We start from the raw sequence: 13,999 nt of genomic DNA, 5'->3' as shown, positions 1-13,999 counted from the left end.
AGCTCACTGCAACCTCTGCCTCCCTTGTTCAAGCGATTCTCCTGCCTCAGCCTTCCAAGTAGCTGGGATTACAGACACGTGCCACTACTACCCAGCTACTTTTTGTATTTTTAGTAGAGACGGGGCTTCACTATGTTGGCCAGGCTATTATTATTATTATTTTTAGATGGAGTCTCTTTCTGTCACCCAGACTCAAGTGTAGTGGCGTGATCATAACTCATTGCAGCCTCAAACTCCTGGACTCAAGCAATCCTCCCACCTCAGCCTCCCAAGTAGCTGGGACTACAGGCAGGCACCACCATGCCCAGCTAATTTTTTAAATATTTTTAAGAGGCAGGGTCTTTCTATGTTGCCCAGGCTGGTCTTGAAGGAAGACTGAATACTCTGCCGTTTCAGAGGTTCCTGCCTCCACTTCCCAAAGTGCTGGGATTGCAGGCATGAGCCACTGTTCCAGGCCCTTTTGTCCATTTTTTAATCTGATTGTTTCTTTTCTTATCTTTGAGTTTGAAGAGGAATAACAGCCCTTCATCCCACGTCTTTTACAAATACTTTTTCCCAGCTTATCGCTTGTCTTCTTATTCTCTTAACAAATCTATTTTTGTCCTATGTTTTTCATTCTAACATACCTCTTCAACTCTCTTCCTTCTGCCCACATCCCATCTCCAGCTGGTTCTTGTCAGCCTGTTGGTAACATGCCTCCTGGCCATGCACCGTGTGGGTGTCCTGGTGAAATGTGCCTGCACTTTCACCACAGGTGAGAGCCTCTAAGTCCCTTTGCAAACACAACTTTCTTTGCTTTACTCCCCAGCATGTTTTTCCCACTCTCCTGCTATCTGTGTTCATGCACCTGCCAGAATAAGGCCTCTTGATCACACCCCACCAGCCACAAGCTGGCTCTGTTTTTTTCCTGCAGTTTCCATCACAAAAGTGGTGTCCTTTTTTCCACTTTCTACACAGTTTAAAAAATAACATGAAACATGCTTTTAAAAACTCTACAAGACAGCCGGGCGCGGTGGCTCACACCTGTAATCCCAGCACTTTGGGAGGCTGAGGCGGGTGGATCACAAGGTTAAGAGATTGAGACCATCCTGGCTAACATGGTGAAACCCTGTCTCTACTAAAAATACAAAAAATTAGCTGGGCATGGTGGCACATGGCTGTAGTCCCAGCTACTCAGGAAGCTGAGGCAAGAGAATCCCTTGAACCCAGGAGGCAGAGGTTGCAGTGAGCCAAGGTCACACCACTGCACTCCAGAGCCTGGGTGACAGAGTGAGACTCTATCTAAAACAACAACAACAAAAAAAAAAAAAGAAAGAAAGAAAAAGAAAAAGAAAAAACTCTACAAGATTTGCCTGGCGTGGTGGCTCATGTCTGTATTCCCAGCACTTTGGGAGGCTGAGGTGGGTGGATCACTTGAGCACAGGAGTGGAGTCCAACCTGGGCACCATGCTGAAACCCCATCTCTACAAAAAAATACAAGAACTAGCTGAGTGTGGTGGCTCATGCCTGTATTTCCAGCTACTCGGGAGGCTGAGATGAGGGGATTTCTTGAGCTCAGGAGGTGGAGGTTGCAGTGAGCCAAGATCATGCCACCACACTCCAGCCTGGGCAACAGAGCCAGACCTTGAAAAAAAAAAAGAAGAAAGAGAAAGAAAAAGAAGGAAAGAAAGGGAGGAAGGAAGGAAGGAAGGAAGGAAGGAAGGAAGGAAGGAAGGAGAGAAAGGGCGTGGTGGCTCACGCCTATAATCCCAGCACTTTGGGAGGCCGAGGCGGGTGGATCACGAGGTCAGGAGATCGAGACCATCCTGGCTAACACGGTGAAACCCCGTCTCTACTAAAAATACAAAAAAAAATTAGCTGAGTGTGGTGGCGGGCGCCTGTAGTCCCAGCTACTTGGGAGGCTGAGGCAGGAGAATGGCGTGAACCTGGGAGAAGGAGCTTGCAATGCACAGAGATCGTGCCACTGCACTCCAGCCTGGGCAACAGAGCGAGACTCTGTCAAAAAAAAAAAAGAAAGAAAGAGAAAGAAAGAAAGGAAAAACTACAAGATTTCTTAAAAAATAATCCCTTTTACATTTATTATTTATAAATATATTTTAAAAGGTCTGGACTTAATCACTCCAAACTATTAAAAGAAGTGGTGAGGAGAACTACATTGGGATGAGGCAGGGGAGGATACGTATAGGGACATTCCTTTCTTACTTTATAGACTTCTGTACTGTTTGACTTTTTATAATAGGTACTATTACTGCTATATTTTTAAATGAAGTTGGGAAAATAAGCACATTCCCTCTCATTTCCTGAAATTCTGATGCACTCTTAGGATTATGAGCTCCTGCGCTCCTGGTAAAAATCATTACTCCAAGGGGCGGCATGCACGATCATCCCCATCATTAGCAGGAAGACCAGCAGTGTGCATGGTCTCTGGGAAGCAGCAGCGTGTCATAGGAAAATCACTGTTATGGGAGTCAGGAGGCCTAGGGTCAGGTCCTGACTCTGTCCTCAGCTCACTGTGTGGCTTCGGAAAAGTGCCCTGCCCGCCATGGGCCAAAGTGACCCAAGGCATTCAGTGAATGCATGGGACTCATTAATTCATTTGACTGACAGCTCCAGAAGGATGGAGCCCTGCCTATTTTATTCACTGACATGGACCCTAGGGCCTTGTATAACTCCAACACTCAGTAGCCATTCAATACTTGTTCAACGAGTTGGCACATGATTTTTGGAGCCCTTCAGGGAAATGAGGGAGGCTCAGTGGGCACCAGTGGGTATTGGCACCTACCACTTCTGCCAAATTTCCTACTATACATCTTTCCATTCAGCCTTGTACTAGGAAAAGATCTACCTTTCTCTCTCCCTATGTTATACTTCTGAACCTAACAAAGTATCCTGCTCTCCCCCACACTCAATAAGCCCTTGATGGACTATGGAGATACTGCAATGCAGTGCTAGAGGCCAGCCCCCATGCCTGGCTCCCTGACCACGCCCACTGGGGGAGGTATCTTGTCCTCTCCTTGCCTGGGATGGGGAAGGATGGCAGATCCCGTTGAGGTCCCACAAATCCTGTAGTCCAATGTTGATATCTGTCCCTCTGGAAATACAGTTATAATTAATTTTAATACTTTCAGATATCCTAAAGAGTTGTTCTCAAAGTTGATCCCCAGTCCAGCTGCATCAGCACCACCTGGGAACTTATTAGAAATGCAAATACTTCAGCCCCACCCAGACATACTGATCAGAAACTCTGAGGATGGGACCCAGAAATCTGTATTTTAACAAGACATCCAGATGATTCTAATTCACACAAAAGTTTGAGAACCACTGCCCTAAAGAAACTACTTTACATTCTTGACAACAAAGGCAGCTTCTGGGGGCAAATTAATATATCAGAAATTGCTATTTCCTGTGCTTAGCTTGAGAATTTTCTTTAGTCCTAAAATCAAGACAGCCATGGGACAATAATCAAGACTCAAGATGTGTACATGGGTCCAGATGGATTCCTACAGGGACACAGCCAGAGCTGCTAGAATCCAACCTACTAAAAGTACAGATGGGGAAATCAGGCCCTAAAGACAGAAAGCAACCTTCCCAGGGGTACACAGCAAATCATGATAGGGTTGAAAATTGTGATCTGAGCAAAGGTGTTATCGAAATATGGTCAACTCCTGGTGTATTAGTCCATTTTCACACTGCTATAAAAAACTGCCCAAGACTGGATAATTTATAAAGGAAAGAGATTTAATTGACTCACAGTTCAGCATGGTTTGGGAAGCCTCAGGAAACATACAATCACAGCAGAAGGCGAAGAAGAAACCAGGCACTTTCTTCATGTAGAGGCAGGCAGGAGAAGTGCCAAGTTAAGGGGTAAATAGCCCCTTATAAAACCATCAGATCTCATGAGAACCCACTCATTATCACAAGAACAGCATGGGGGAAATGGCCCCCATTATTCAATTACCTCTACCGGGTCTCTCCCTTGACATGCGGTGATTATGGGGACTACAGGGTTTACAACTCAGGATGAGATCTGGGTTGGGACACAAAGCCTAACCATATCATTCCACCCTGGCCCTTCCCAAATTTCATGTCCCTTTCACATTTCAAAACCAATCATGCCCTCCCTAGAGTCTCCCAAAGTCTTAATTTATTCCATCATTAACCCAAAAGCCTAAGTCCAAAGTCTCATCTAAGACAAAGCAAGTCTTTTCCACCTATGAGAGCCTGTAAAATCAAAAACAAGTTAGTTACTTCCTAGACACAATGGTGGTACAGACATTGGGTAAATACACTGATTCCAAATGGGAGAAATTGGCCAAACAAAGGGGCTACAGGCTCCATGCAAGCCCAAAATCCATCTGGGCAGTCAAACCTTAAAGCTCTGAAATGATCGCCTTTGACTCCATTTCTCACATCCAGGTCACACGGATGCAAGTGGTAGGTTCCTATGGTCTTGGGCAGCTCCACTCTTGTGGCTTCACAGGGTACAGTCCCCCTCCTGGCTGCTTTTCATGGGCTGGTGTTGAGTGTCTGTGTCTTTTCCAGGTGCACAGTGCAAGTTGTCAATTAATCTACCATTCTGGGATCTGGAGAATGGTGGCCCTCTTCTCACAGCTCCATTAGACAGTGTCCCAGTGGGAACTGTGTGGCAGCTGCAACCCCACATTTCCCTTCCTCACTGCCCTAGCAGAGGTTCTCCATGAGGGCCCCTCCTCTGCAGCAAACTTCTGTCTGGACACCCAGGCATTTCCATACATCCTCTGAAATCTAAGCAGAGGTTCCCAAACCTCAGTTCTTGACTTCTGTGCACCTGTAGGCCCAACACCACATTTAAGCTGTCCATGCTTGGGGCTTGCACCCTCTTAAGCAATGACCTGAGCTCTATGTTGGCACCTTTTAGCCATAGCTGGGGTGCAGGCCACCAAGTCTTGAGACTTCACAAAGCAGTAAGGCCCTAGGCCTGGCCCACAAAACCATTTTACCCTCCTAGGCCTCCAGGCCTGTGATGAGAGGGGCTGCCATGAACACATCTGACATGCCCTGGAGATGTTTTCCCCATTGATTTGGTGATTAACATTTGGCTCCTTATTGCTTATGCAAATTTCTGCAGCCAGCTTGAATTCCCCCCACCAAAACTGGTTATTCTTTTCTATTGCATTGTCATGTTGCAAATTTTCTGAACTTTTATGCTCTGCTTCCCTTTTAAATATAAGTTTCAATTCCAAACCATCTCTTTATGAATACATAAAACTGAATGCTTTCAAGAGCACTCTAGTTACCTCTTGAGTGCTTTGCTGTTAGAAATTTCTTCCACCAGATACCCTAAATCATGTCTCTCAAGTTTAAAGTTCCACAGATCTCTAGGTTGGGGGCAAAATGCTGCCAGTCTCTTTGCTAAAACATAGCAAGAGTAACCTAGGCCTAGGAGGAAAAAATGGTTTCGTGGGTAGGGCCCAAGGCCTTGGTGCTTTGTGCAGTCTCAGGACATAGTGCCCTGTGTCCCAATTCCCAACAAGTTTCTCATCACCATCTGAGACCACCTCAGCCTGGACTTCATCGTCCACATCACTGTCAGTATTTTGGTCAAAGCAATTCAACAAGCCTCTAGGAAGTTCCAAACTTTCCTACATCTTCCTGTCTTCTTCTGAGCCCTCCAAACTGTTCCAACTTCTGCCCATTATCCAGTTCCAAAATAATTTCCACATTTTCAAGTATCTTTATAGCAGTGCTCCACTACCTCGGTACCAATTTACTGTATTAGTTCGTTTTCACACTGCTATGAAGAACTGCCCAAGACTGGGTAATTAATAAAGGAAAGAGGTTTAATTGACTCACAGTTCAGCATGGTTGGGGAGGCCTCAGGAAGCACACAATCATGGCAGAAGGCAAAGAGGAAGCAAGGCACCTTCTCCACAAGGTGGTAGGCAGGAGAAGTGCTAAGCGAAGGGGGGAAGAGCCCCTTATAAAACCATAGGATCTCATGAGAACTCACTCAATATTGTGAGAACAGCATGGGGGAAATGTCCCCAGTGATTCAATTACCTGCACCTGGTCTCTCCTTTGACATGTGGGGATTATGGAGATTTTGGGGTTTACAATTCAAGATGAGATTTGGGTGGAGACACAAAATCTAACCATATCACCTGATCATCCTGGATTATCCTGAGTGTGGATGGACAGATTCTGGTAGCTAAAGTTTGTAGTCACCTATCTCCGCAGCCAGGGGACACCCTGACACCCTGACACCCTGACAACAGAGCTGTTTTGTTTTCTTCAACAGCTCTTCTTTTTTTTTAGTCTTTAGTTATTAGGTGGCAACAGATTGAATAATGAGGTTATTTCTTTGATACTGCTCTCATAGTGCAAAATAAATCATTGTCAATTTAGCAAAGGTCCAGTTTTGATAAAGCATTTACCAGCAATCATGTATAAGAAATACATTTTGGCACCACATTGTGTTGTAACTGCCCTTCGGAGTGGTCTTGGAACAATTTCCTCACTTCTATTGGCTCTGTTACTTGTGATCAAAGCAGAAAGAGTCCAGATCCAAGGCAAGCTAGGCCCCAGGACTTGGGCAGTGGAGATCATCCAGCTCTAGTTGCTGCAGTAAGCAGGGCAGAGAAGCTAAGAGGTGCATGTAAACACAAAGAGGACAGGATAAGGAGGCTCCTGGGATGCCTGAGATGGTTTCTGAACCTGGGCATTAGGGGATGCCAGGCAGCATGTGGGGACTTAAAGTCAGATAGACTCTGTGTACTTTCTTTTTTGTTGTTATTTTTTGAGATGGAATTTCACTCTGTCACCCAGGCTGCCAGGCTGGAGTGCAGTGGCACGATCTCAGCTCACTGCAACCTCCGCCTCCTGGGCTCAAGTGATTCTCCTACGTCAGCTCCCCAGTAGCTGGGATTACAGGCACCCACCACCACACCTGGCTAATTTTTTGTATTTTTAGTAGAGACAGGGTTTCACCATGTTAGCCAGGCTGGTCTCGAACTCCTGACCTCAGGTGATCCACCCACCTCAGCCTCCCAAAGTGCTGGGATTACAGACATGAGCCACTGTGCCCAGCCTGACTCTGTGTACTTTCTAGAAGATCAGTCTATTCATAGAGAAACGGGGCCTCATTCACTCCTTAATTCATTCATCTAGTGACTGGACAAACATCAATCGAGTAGCCACTATAGGCTGAGCATCATGCTGTGTGCTAGGAAAATAGAGACAAACAAAATAGACACAATCTCTACCTCAATGGAGTTTTATGACCTTGTAGTAGGGACAGAAAATAAATAAGAAAAGATACAAATGTATAATTATGAATTAGGATAAGAGCTGCAAAGAGGTGGGGAAAACTTCTCTGAGGAGGTGAAGTTTAAGCTACGAGTTGAAGGGTAAGTGAGAGCCAGCCCTTTGAAGAGGGGTAGGAAGAACTGCCTAGGGAAAGGTATCAGCAAAAGACTGTGAGGTGGAAAGAGCTCAGAGGACTGCAGGAACTGGCAGAGCAAGGAGGAGAAGTAGAAGAGAAGAATGGAAAGGTCAGCAGGAGTCGAACCACTCAGTGACTTGTAGGCAAGTTAATACATCAGAATGCTGTTCCCAGAGTAGAGGGAAGCCCCAGAAGGCTTCCAAGCATAAGAAGGACATAATATAATCAATAGTCTTCAAAAGATCAGTCTAGATGCTGTATGGGACATAGATTGAGGGGCAAGAGTGGAAGTTGATTTTTTGCATGGGGGAAGGGACAGCCAAGACCAAGCAGAGTATTCAGTGTCAAAGTCAAATCAGTCAGAATTGAGAACAGAGTCCCTCCCTCTCCAAGAAGATGAGGTTGGGTGGTGGATGATAGGAAGGGAGATCAAGGCAGGCCCTCTTGACTCCATACCTTGACGCAAAGGCTCTGCCTGGAAACATACCTGGACATAAATGTAATGAGCCTGCCAGGGTATTCCTGCCCCTTCTGGAGCTGGAGGAGGTCTGAGGCTACAAGCCAGGCTTCTATCTGTGGCTGTGAGAAGTGAGGGCATCAGATAAGTGAGGTAAGGCTGGAGCTGAAAACACCAGCACATCAGATGGCCACATATTCACTTTCCCTTCCGTCTTTTTAAAACAATCTTCTCCCAATGCCCAGGGACATTGTGTTCTTCCTGACTGTGGACCAGCTGGGCTTCTGCTGTGTGTTCCTGATGCTTCTGGCAGATAACCTCAAACAAGTAGGGCAGAGAACTCAAGCAGAAATACAAGATGGCACGAGATAGCCCAGCTTGAGTTTTAAGCAGCTCCATCCAAATCAACCAGGTTTGTGAAAGCCTGTGAAATTCAGCCTTTGCTTAGGACACTCCAGGTCCTTCTCTCTGAGCAACGACAGATGAAACAGGATATTTTTTCAACTTGAAAATTGTCAATATCTCCTTATTGGACAAGATATATTCCAAATACCTTAATCTGGCTCACAAGACCCTAGGTGCTCTGGTCCCTACCTGCCCTCCAGCCTGATCTTTTACTTCTCTCTATATGCTTCAACACGTCTGGGCTATCTACCATTCTCAAATAGATTGTGCATTTTCCCAACACTGAGCCCTTATTTATGCTGTTTTTCCTATAGGTAACATGCTCCCTTCTTGTCTCTCATCTCCACGTATCCAAATCATACCCATCCTAAATGCTCACCTCCTCTGGGTATCGTTCCCTGAGTCACACAGCGGAATCACTACCTTATTTTTCTCTTCTTAATTTAATCCTACTGTTTAAATATATTTATAGTTTTCCTTGAATACAGTTATGTCTTCTTTATAGCTAGCCTGTGAGCTCATAGAGGGTAGACAAGTTGCTTTGGAGCTCTTATAACAAAGTAAGTACTTGGCAAGTATTTGTTATATGTGTATTTTGAGCAAATAGGTCTGTACATTCTAGTGCTTGAAGAATTTCAAGTGGTATAGCCACTTAAGGCAGGCCACAAAGCACTGTGTTCACTTAGATCTTATGTTTGTAAATATATTATGTTGGCATATGTATATATATACATATATATACGTGTATAAATAAATATAATATCTACTGCCAATATATAATATACCTTTCCGAAATGAATCTACAGGTGCATCTTTTATATTCATTTTAAACTCTTGTTTATTTTTTATGATGTCTCTTGAGTGATACAAAATCTTCATGGTTGGTTTCTTCCCCTCAGTACACAAAAGCAACACAGCTCTTTCTTAAACAAAAGGAAACAATAGCATGAGACTATAAAATATAAAAGGTCTCCATAAATTTCTCCTCCTGCAAAAACACACATTAAAAGTTATGTGACCATCAGTAAAATGAGGGAATAAAAAATAAAAAGGCGAAAGTTATGTGAATAGTTTTTCAGTTTTTTCATAAATATTCAAACATGCATATATAATAATTTTTCAGACTATGATATTGATATGCTATTTGTTTTTTTCCATGCTTAATATCATGGACTCACTATATATAATGTATTCACCAAGTCCTTAAGGACAGACATTTTGGTTATTTCCATTTTATTTTATGTTATTGATATCATAAACAATACAAAAAAACTCTGTAAAGAGTCTCCAAAGACAATTTTTCACTCTTTATATTTTATATTTGCTTCTTTATATTTTCACCATCATAAAACAAAATCCATATTTGGAAAAAAAAAAAAGATGCCTAGGTCATCTCTCTGTCCCTGTTCAGAATTTCACCACTCTCTTTCAATGAATGAATTAATTCATTGAACAAATACATATTGAATATCTATCCTTGAGCTGGCCACTGTGCTGGTAATACAGCCGTGAACAAATCAGATAAAGTTCCTGCCCTCAGACACTTACATTCTAGTGGGAAAGATAAACATTTAGCAATAATCATGCTAGTGTAAAATGACAAAGCATGATAAGCCCTATTGAGGCAATGGACTGGTGCTATAAGAGTAGGGGTCTGATGGAGTTTGGAGGGAACATTGACTCTGAAGGCTGAGCAGTCACTAAGAAGGGAATTTTGGGAGACAAGGTTTTTGGCAGTGAGAAAATCTCCAGATGCTGGTGCTTTTAAGGGCTGAAGATTGACAGGAATGGCTGGAGGACATAGGGATGGGAACAGGCAGGTCGCAGCTAAGGTTCACATCATCCTTTTTTATCCATAGGTGATCAAGACAACTGATGAGATCATAGCTGACTGCCAGGGCAGAGGCGTGGCGATTCCCACACCCACCGTGGATGTCACATCTACACAGTGTTCACATTTCCCTTGCTGGTGCTGCTGGTGTTCCTCCAGAGCCTCTGTGCGCTGCCTACTTTCTAGATGCTGAACAAAGTCTTCACGCTGGGAAGCCTCGTCCTCATCCTCCAGCATCTCCTCCAGGTAGATTCCCCACCCCATGCAGTCACCTTGAGAAGGGTGTGCGTGTGTATGTGTGTGTATGTAGAACAAAGCCTGGAAACACATCCTCCAGATTGTCAATGATTTCCTCTAGAGAGGGAAAGTTCAGGTTGTTGTATATTTTCCTATATGTGTCTCTATTGTTTGACATATATATGGAATTATCACACAGAAAATTTCTGCATAATGCCCAAACTCCGGGGAATGAATATATCTCTCTCATTATAATTTTTCCCCATGTTTATATAGGAAATATTTACATTTCTGTCCCCAAATGCAATATAACATATTTAACAAAACAACCCATGGGAAATATCTTGAGACATTCCTTACATTGTCTTACCTTACAGATTTAGTTAAATGTTAGGACCCACACAGACAGTTTGGAAAGAGAACAAGCATCCACAAAGAGGATGTGGAGGATGTTTGCAGACAAAAGCAATTTCTTGTGACAACCATATTCATTTGTGTTTAGTATCAAGTTTTAAGCATTCATAGACTAACGTCATAGTTTGTTGCTTACATACAGGCATTTTACTTGTTTTAGTTACGTCTTAAGAAATGGTTGAGTATTTGGGGTGGATGTTCATGTCACAATTTCTCCTATTTAAAATAGTAGGAACTTGGTTGTCAGTGATTTGCCCAGATCATCAGATTTTTAGAGCATATTAATGCTATGAAGGAGGTTTGGTTTGGTTTGGTTTGGTTTCAACAAGCAGGTATTTTCTTATCCGTGGGAAAAACTGTACTAAGGACCCTTGTTCAACTCAAGTTGAAGTAACTGGGGGAAAAAGAGACTATTAGAAAGATTCTGGGAGGTGTCAAGGAACAGTCAAGCCCTAAAAGGATCCTGAGGCAGTCAGTCTTTGCAGGTCACACCAACTCAGGGGTGGACCCCCATTAGGGCTCCCGAAGCCTTTGCTCAGTTTGGCTCTGTGTATTGGCTTTATACCTCTCTCTTAATGTGAGCTGGCTCTGTCCACAGCTTCTGAGTTTTACATTTTACAATTTAGCCACCAGAAGGAGACTAATCTGATGTTCTCTCAGGTCTCAAAATTTCAGGAAAGGAATTCATTGGTTCAGCTCAGGTCAGGTGCCACCCCTGGATCAATCTCCTATAGTTGGGGGCAACACCAATAGAAACTATACCTGATACAGAAGGAGTTCAGGTCACTTAAGGCATGTGGGTGATGGTTGCTGAGCAGATCATCCCGTAGGTATCCATGACAAAGCCTTGAAGAAATAAGATAAATCGGGAGTAAATATTTCTCCTTCTGCTTTGCTCATTTATGAGGCAGAAATCTTCCTCCTGACACCCACCATGGATGAGAATCAACGGATAGGTTTGAAATGTGAATATGAGTCCTAGCTTTGCTGCTTATAAGCTCTGTGACCCTGGATAAGTCACACTTTTAAAATAAGGCTAGTAACTTCTCTCTTGATAGGCTGTTTTGGTGTAAAACTACAAGTGAGAACACAGTAGTTCTTAGAGTCAGCAGAATGGGTACAAGTATAGACTTTAGACCAGTGGTTCTTAATTGGAAATGACTTTGCTCTCCAGTGGACATTTGGCAATTGCTGGAGATATTTTTCGTTGTCACACAGCGGATAGAAGCAAGAGATGCTGTAAAATAGCCTGCAATGCACAGGACAGTCCCTCCCAACCAAGAATTATCTGGCCCTGAATGTCAAGAGTGCTGAGGTTGAGAAACTCTTGATACAGTTGCATCTCATGCAAACAATAGCATGAGACTATAAAATATAAAAGGTCTCCATAAATTTCTCCTCCTGCAAAAACACACATTAAAAGTTATGTGACCATCAGTAAAATGAGGGAATAAAAAATAAAAGGCGAAAGTTATGTGAATAGTTTTTCAGTTTTTTTCATAAATATTCAAACATGCATATATAATAATTTTTCAGACTATGATATTGATATGCTATTTGCTTTTTTCCATGCTTAATGATATATCATGGACTCGCCATATATAATTTATTCACCAAGTCCTTAAGGACAGACATTTTGGTTATTTCCATTTTATTTTATGTTATTGATATCATAAACAATACAAAAAACTCTGTAAAGAGTCTCCAAAGATAATTTTTCTCTCTTTATATTTTATATTTGTTTGTTTATATTTTCACCATCATAAAACAAAATCCATATTTGGAAAAAAAAAAGATGCCTAGGTCATCTCTCTGTCCCTGTTCAGAATTTCACCACTCTCTTTCAATGAATGAATGAATTCATTGAACAAATACATATTGAATATCCTTGAGCTGGCCACTGTGCTGGTAATACAGCCGTGAACAAATCAGATAAAGTTCCTGCCCTCAGACAGGAGCCTGGTAACTCTGGAGCCAAGTTACCAGAATTCTGATTACAGCTCCACCATTTCAAACTTTGGCAAGTTATCTCTGTGCCTCAATTTTCCCAAGTGGAAAAGGAGACAATGCTAATACCTATCTCCGAAACCTATTGTTAAAATCAAATGGATTTATTCATGTAAAGGGCTTAGGATTCTGCCTGGTATATAGTGAGTGCTCCCTAAACAAATGCAAGTTGTTATTTCCCCAAAACCTGGATGAGCATCAGAATCACCTTGAGATTTTGCTTAATAACAGATTCCCAGGCTCTGCTTTGGTTGTCTTGGATCTGAATCTGTGGAATTCAGAACCCAGGAAACTTCCTGTAGAAATACATTTCCCCAGCTGATTTGGATGATCAGCCAAGTACAGAGATGCTGTGAATCCCTGCTTTGCAGAGTGTGGCCTTTGGACCAGCGCAATTGAACTACTCAAAGTCTGATGTGCACACAAATTTCCTGGGGGCCTTATTACAATGCAGATTCTGAGTCAGGAGGTCCAGGGTGGGGCCTGAGATTCTGCATTCCTGACAAGCCTCTAGGTAATGCTGATGCTGCTGGTTCATAGCCCACATTTTGAGTCAAAAGCTCCAAAGCACTTTGTACATGTATGTTGTGGTTTCCATGCCCTCAATCATGTGAGGAGACCAAAACGCCTGTTGAACACTTGGTTATCAGTGTTTTGGAGATCAAGAAATGAGATCAAATAGTTGCCACTGTTTCTTCTTTTTGATAGTCAAAAGCAATGTAAGTAAAAGGAGGCTTGATGCAAACTCCTCAGATAGTCTTTGCCTCCTGAGGGCCCTCCTGCCTGAGCAACAATGAAAATCTATCCCCCCCACCCCAACCAGATGCAGTGGTTCATGAATGCCTGTAATCCTAGCACTTGGGAGGCTGAGGCTGGTGGATCATTTGAGCCCAGGAGTTCAAGACCAGAGTGGAAAACGTGGCAAAACCCTGTCTCTACCAAAACACAAAAAATTGTCTAGGCGTAGTGGCATGCACCTGTAGTCCCAGCTACTTCAGAGGCTGAGGTGGGAGGATCACCCTGAGCCTGGGAGGTTGACACTGCAATGAGCCATGATCACACCACTGCACTCCAGCCTGAGCAACACAGTGAGACATTGTCTCAAAGAAAAAAAAAAAAAGAGGAAAGAAAAGAAAAGAAAAAAAAAATCACCCTCACCACGTTTCACTCCAGGAAGTCATTCACTTACTACTCCCCTGGTTGGAAAAGTTTCTAACTGTTCTCAGAA

At 43.1% G+C, this 13,999-nt stretch overlaps 1 protein-coding gene and 1 long non-coding RNA gene across 7 annotated transcripts in view; one reads left to right on the top strand and one right to left on the bottom strand.

The window, feature by feature from the left end:
- Positions 1 to 13,999, bottom strand: part of SLC36A1 (solute carrier family 36 member 1) — a 211,490-nt gene that overhangs the window by 133,195 nt on the left and 64,296 nt on the right. The window contains exon 2 of the mRNA XM_011537591.2: positions 11,527 to 11,610. The gene's annotated coding sequence lies outside the window, so the exon portion shown is untranslated. The remainder of the gene's footprint in view (positions 1 to 11,526; positions 11,611 to 13,999) is intronic.
- LOC105378234 (uncharacterized) overlaps positions 1 to 13,999 on the top strand; it is an 84,540-nt gene that overhangs the window by 14,048 nt on the left and 56,493 nt on the right. For 5 of the 6 annotated variants that reach the window (XR_007059006.1, XR_944423.4, XR_007059004.1 and 2 more), the window contains 2 exons: positions 8,123 to 8,289; positions 10,142 to 10,359. This is a non-coding gene — a long non-coding RNA (uncharacterized LOC105378234). The remainder of the gene's footprint in view (positions 1 to 8,122; positions 8,290 to 10,141; positions 10,360 to 13,999) is intronic. The other variant, XR_007059005.1, reaches the window with a different exon arrangement.

This window comes from Homo sapiens, chromosome 5 (genome assembly GCF_000001405.40).
Source record: "Homo sapiens chromosome 5, GRCh38.p14 Primary Assembly".
In the NCBI taxonomy this organism is placed as follows: Eukaryota; Metazoa; Chordata; class Mammalia; order Primates; family Hominidae; genus Homo; species Homo sapiens.
This window is presented reverse-complemented; position numbering and strand designations above follow the sequence as displayed.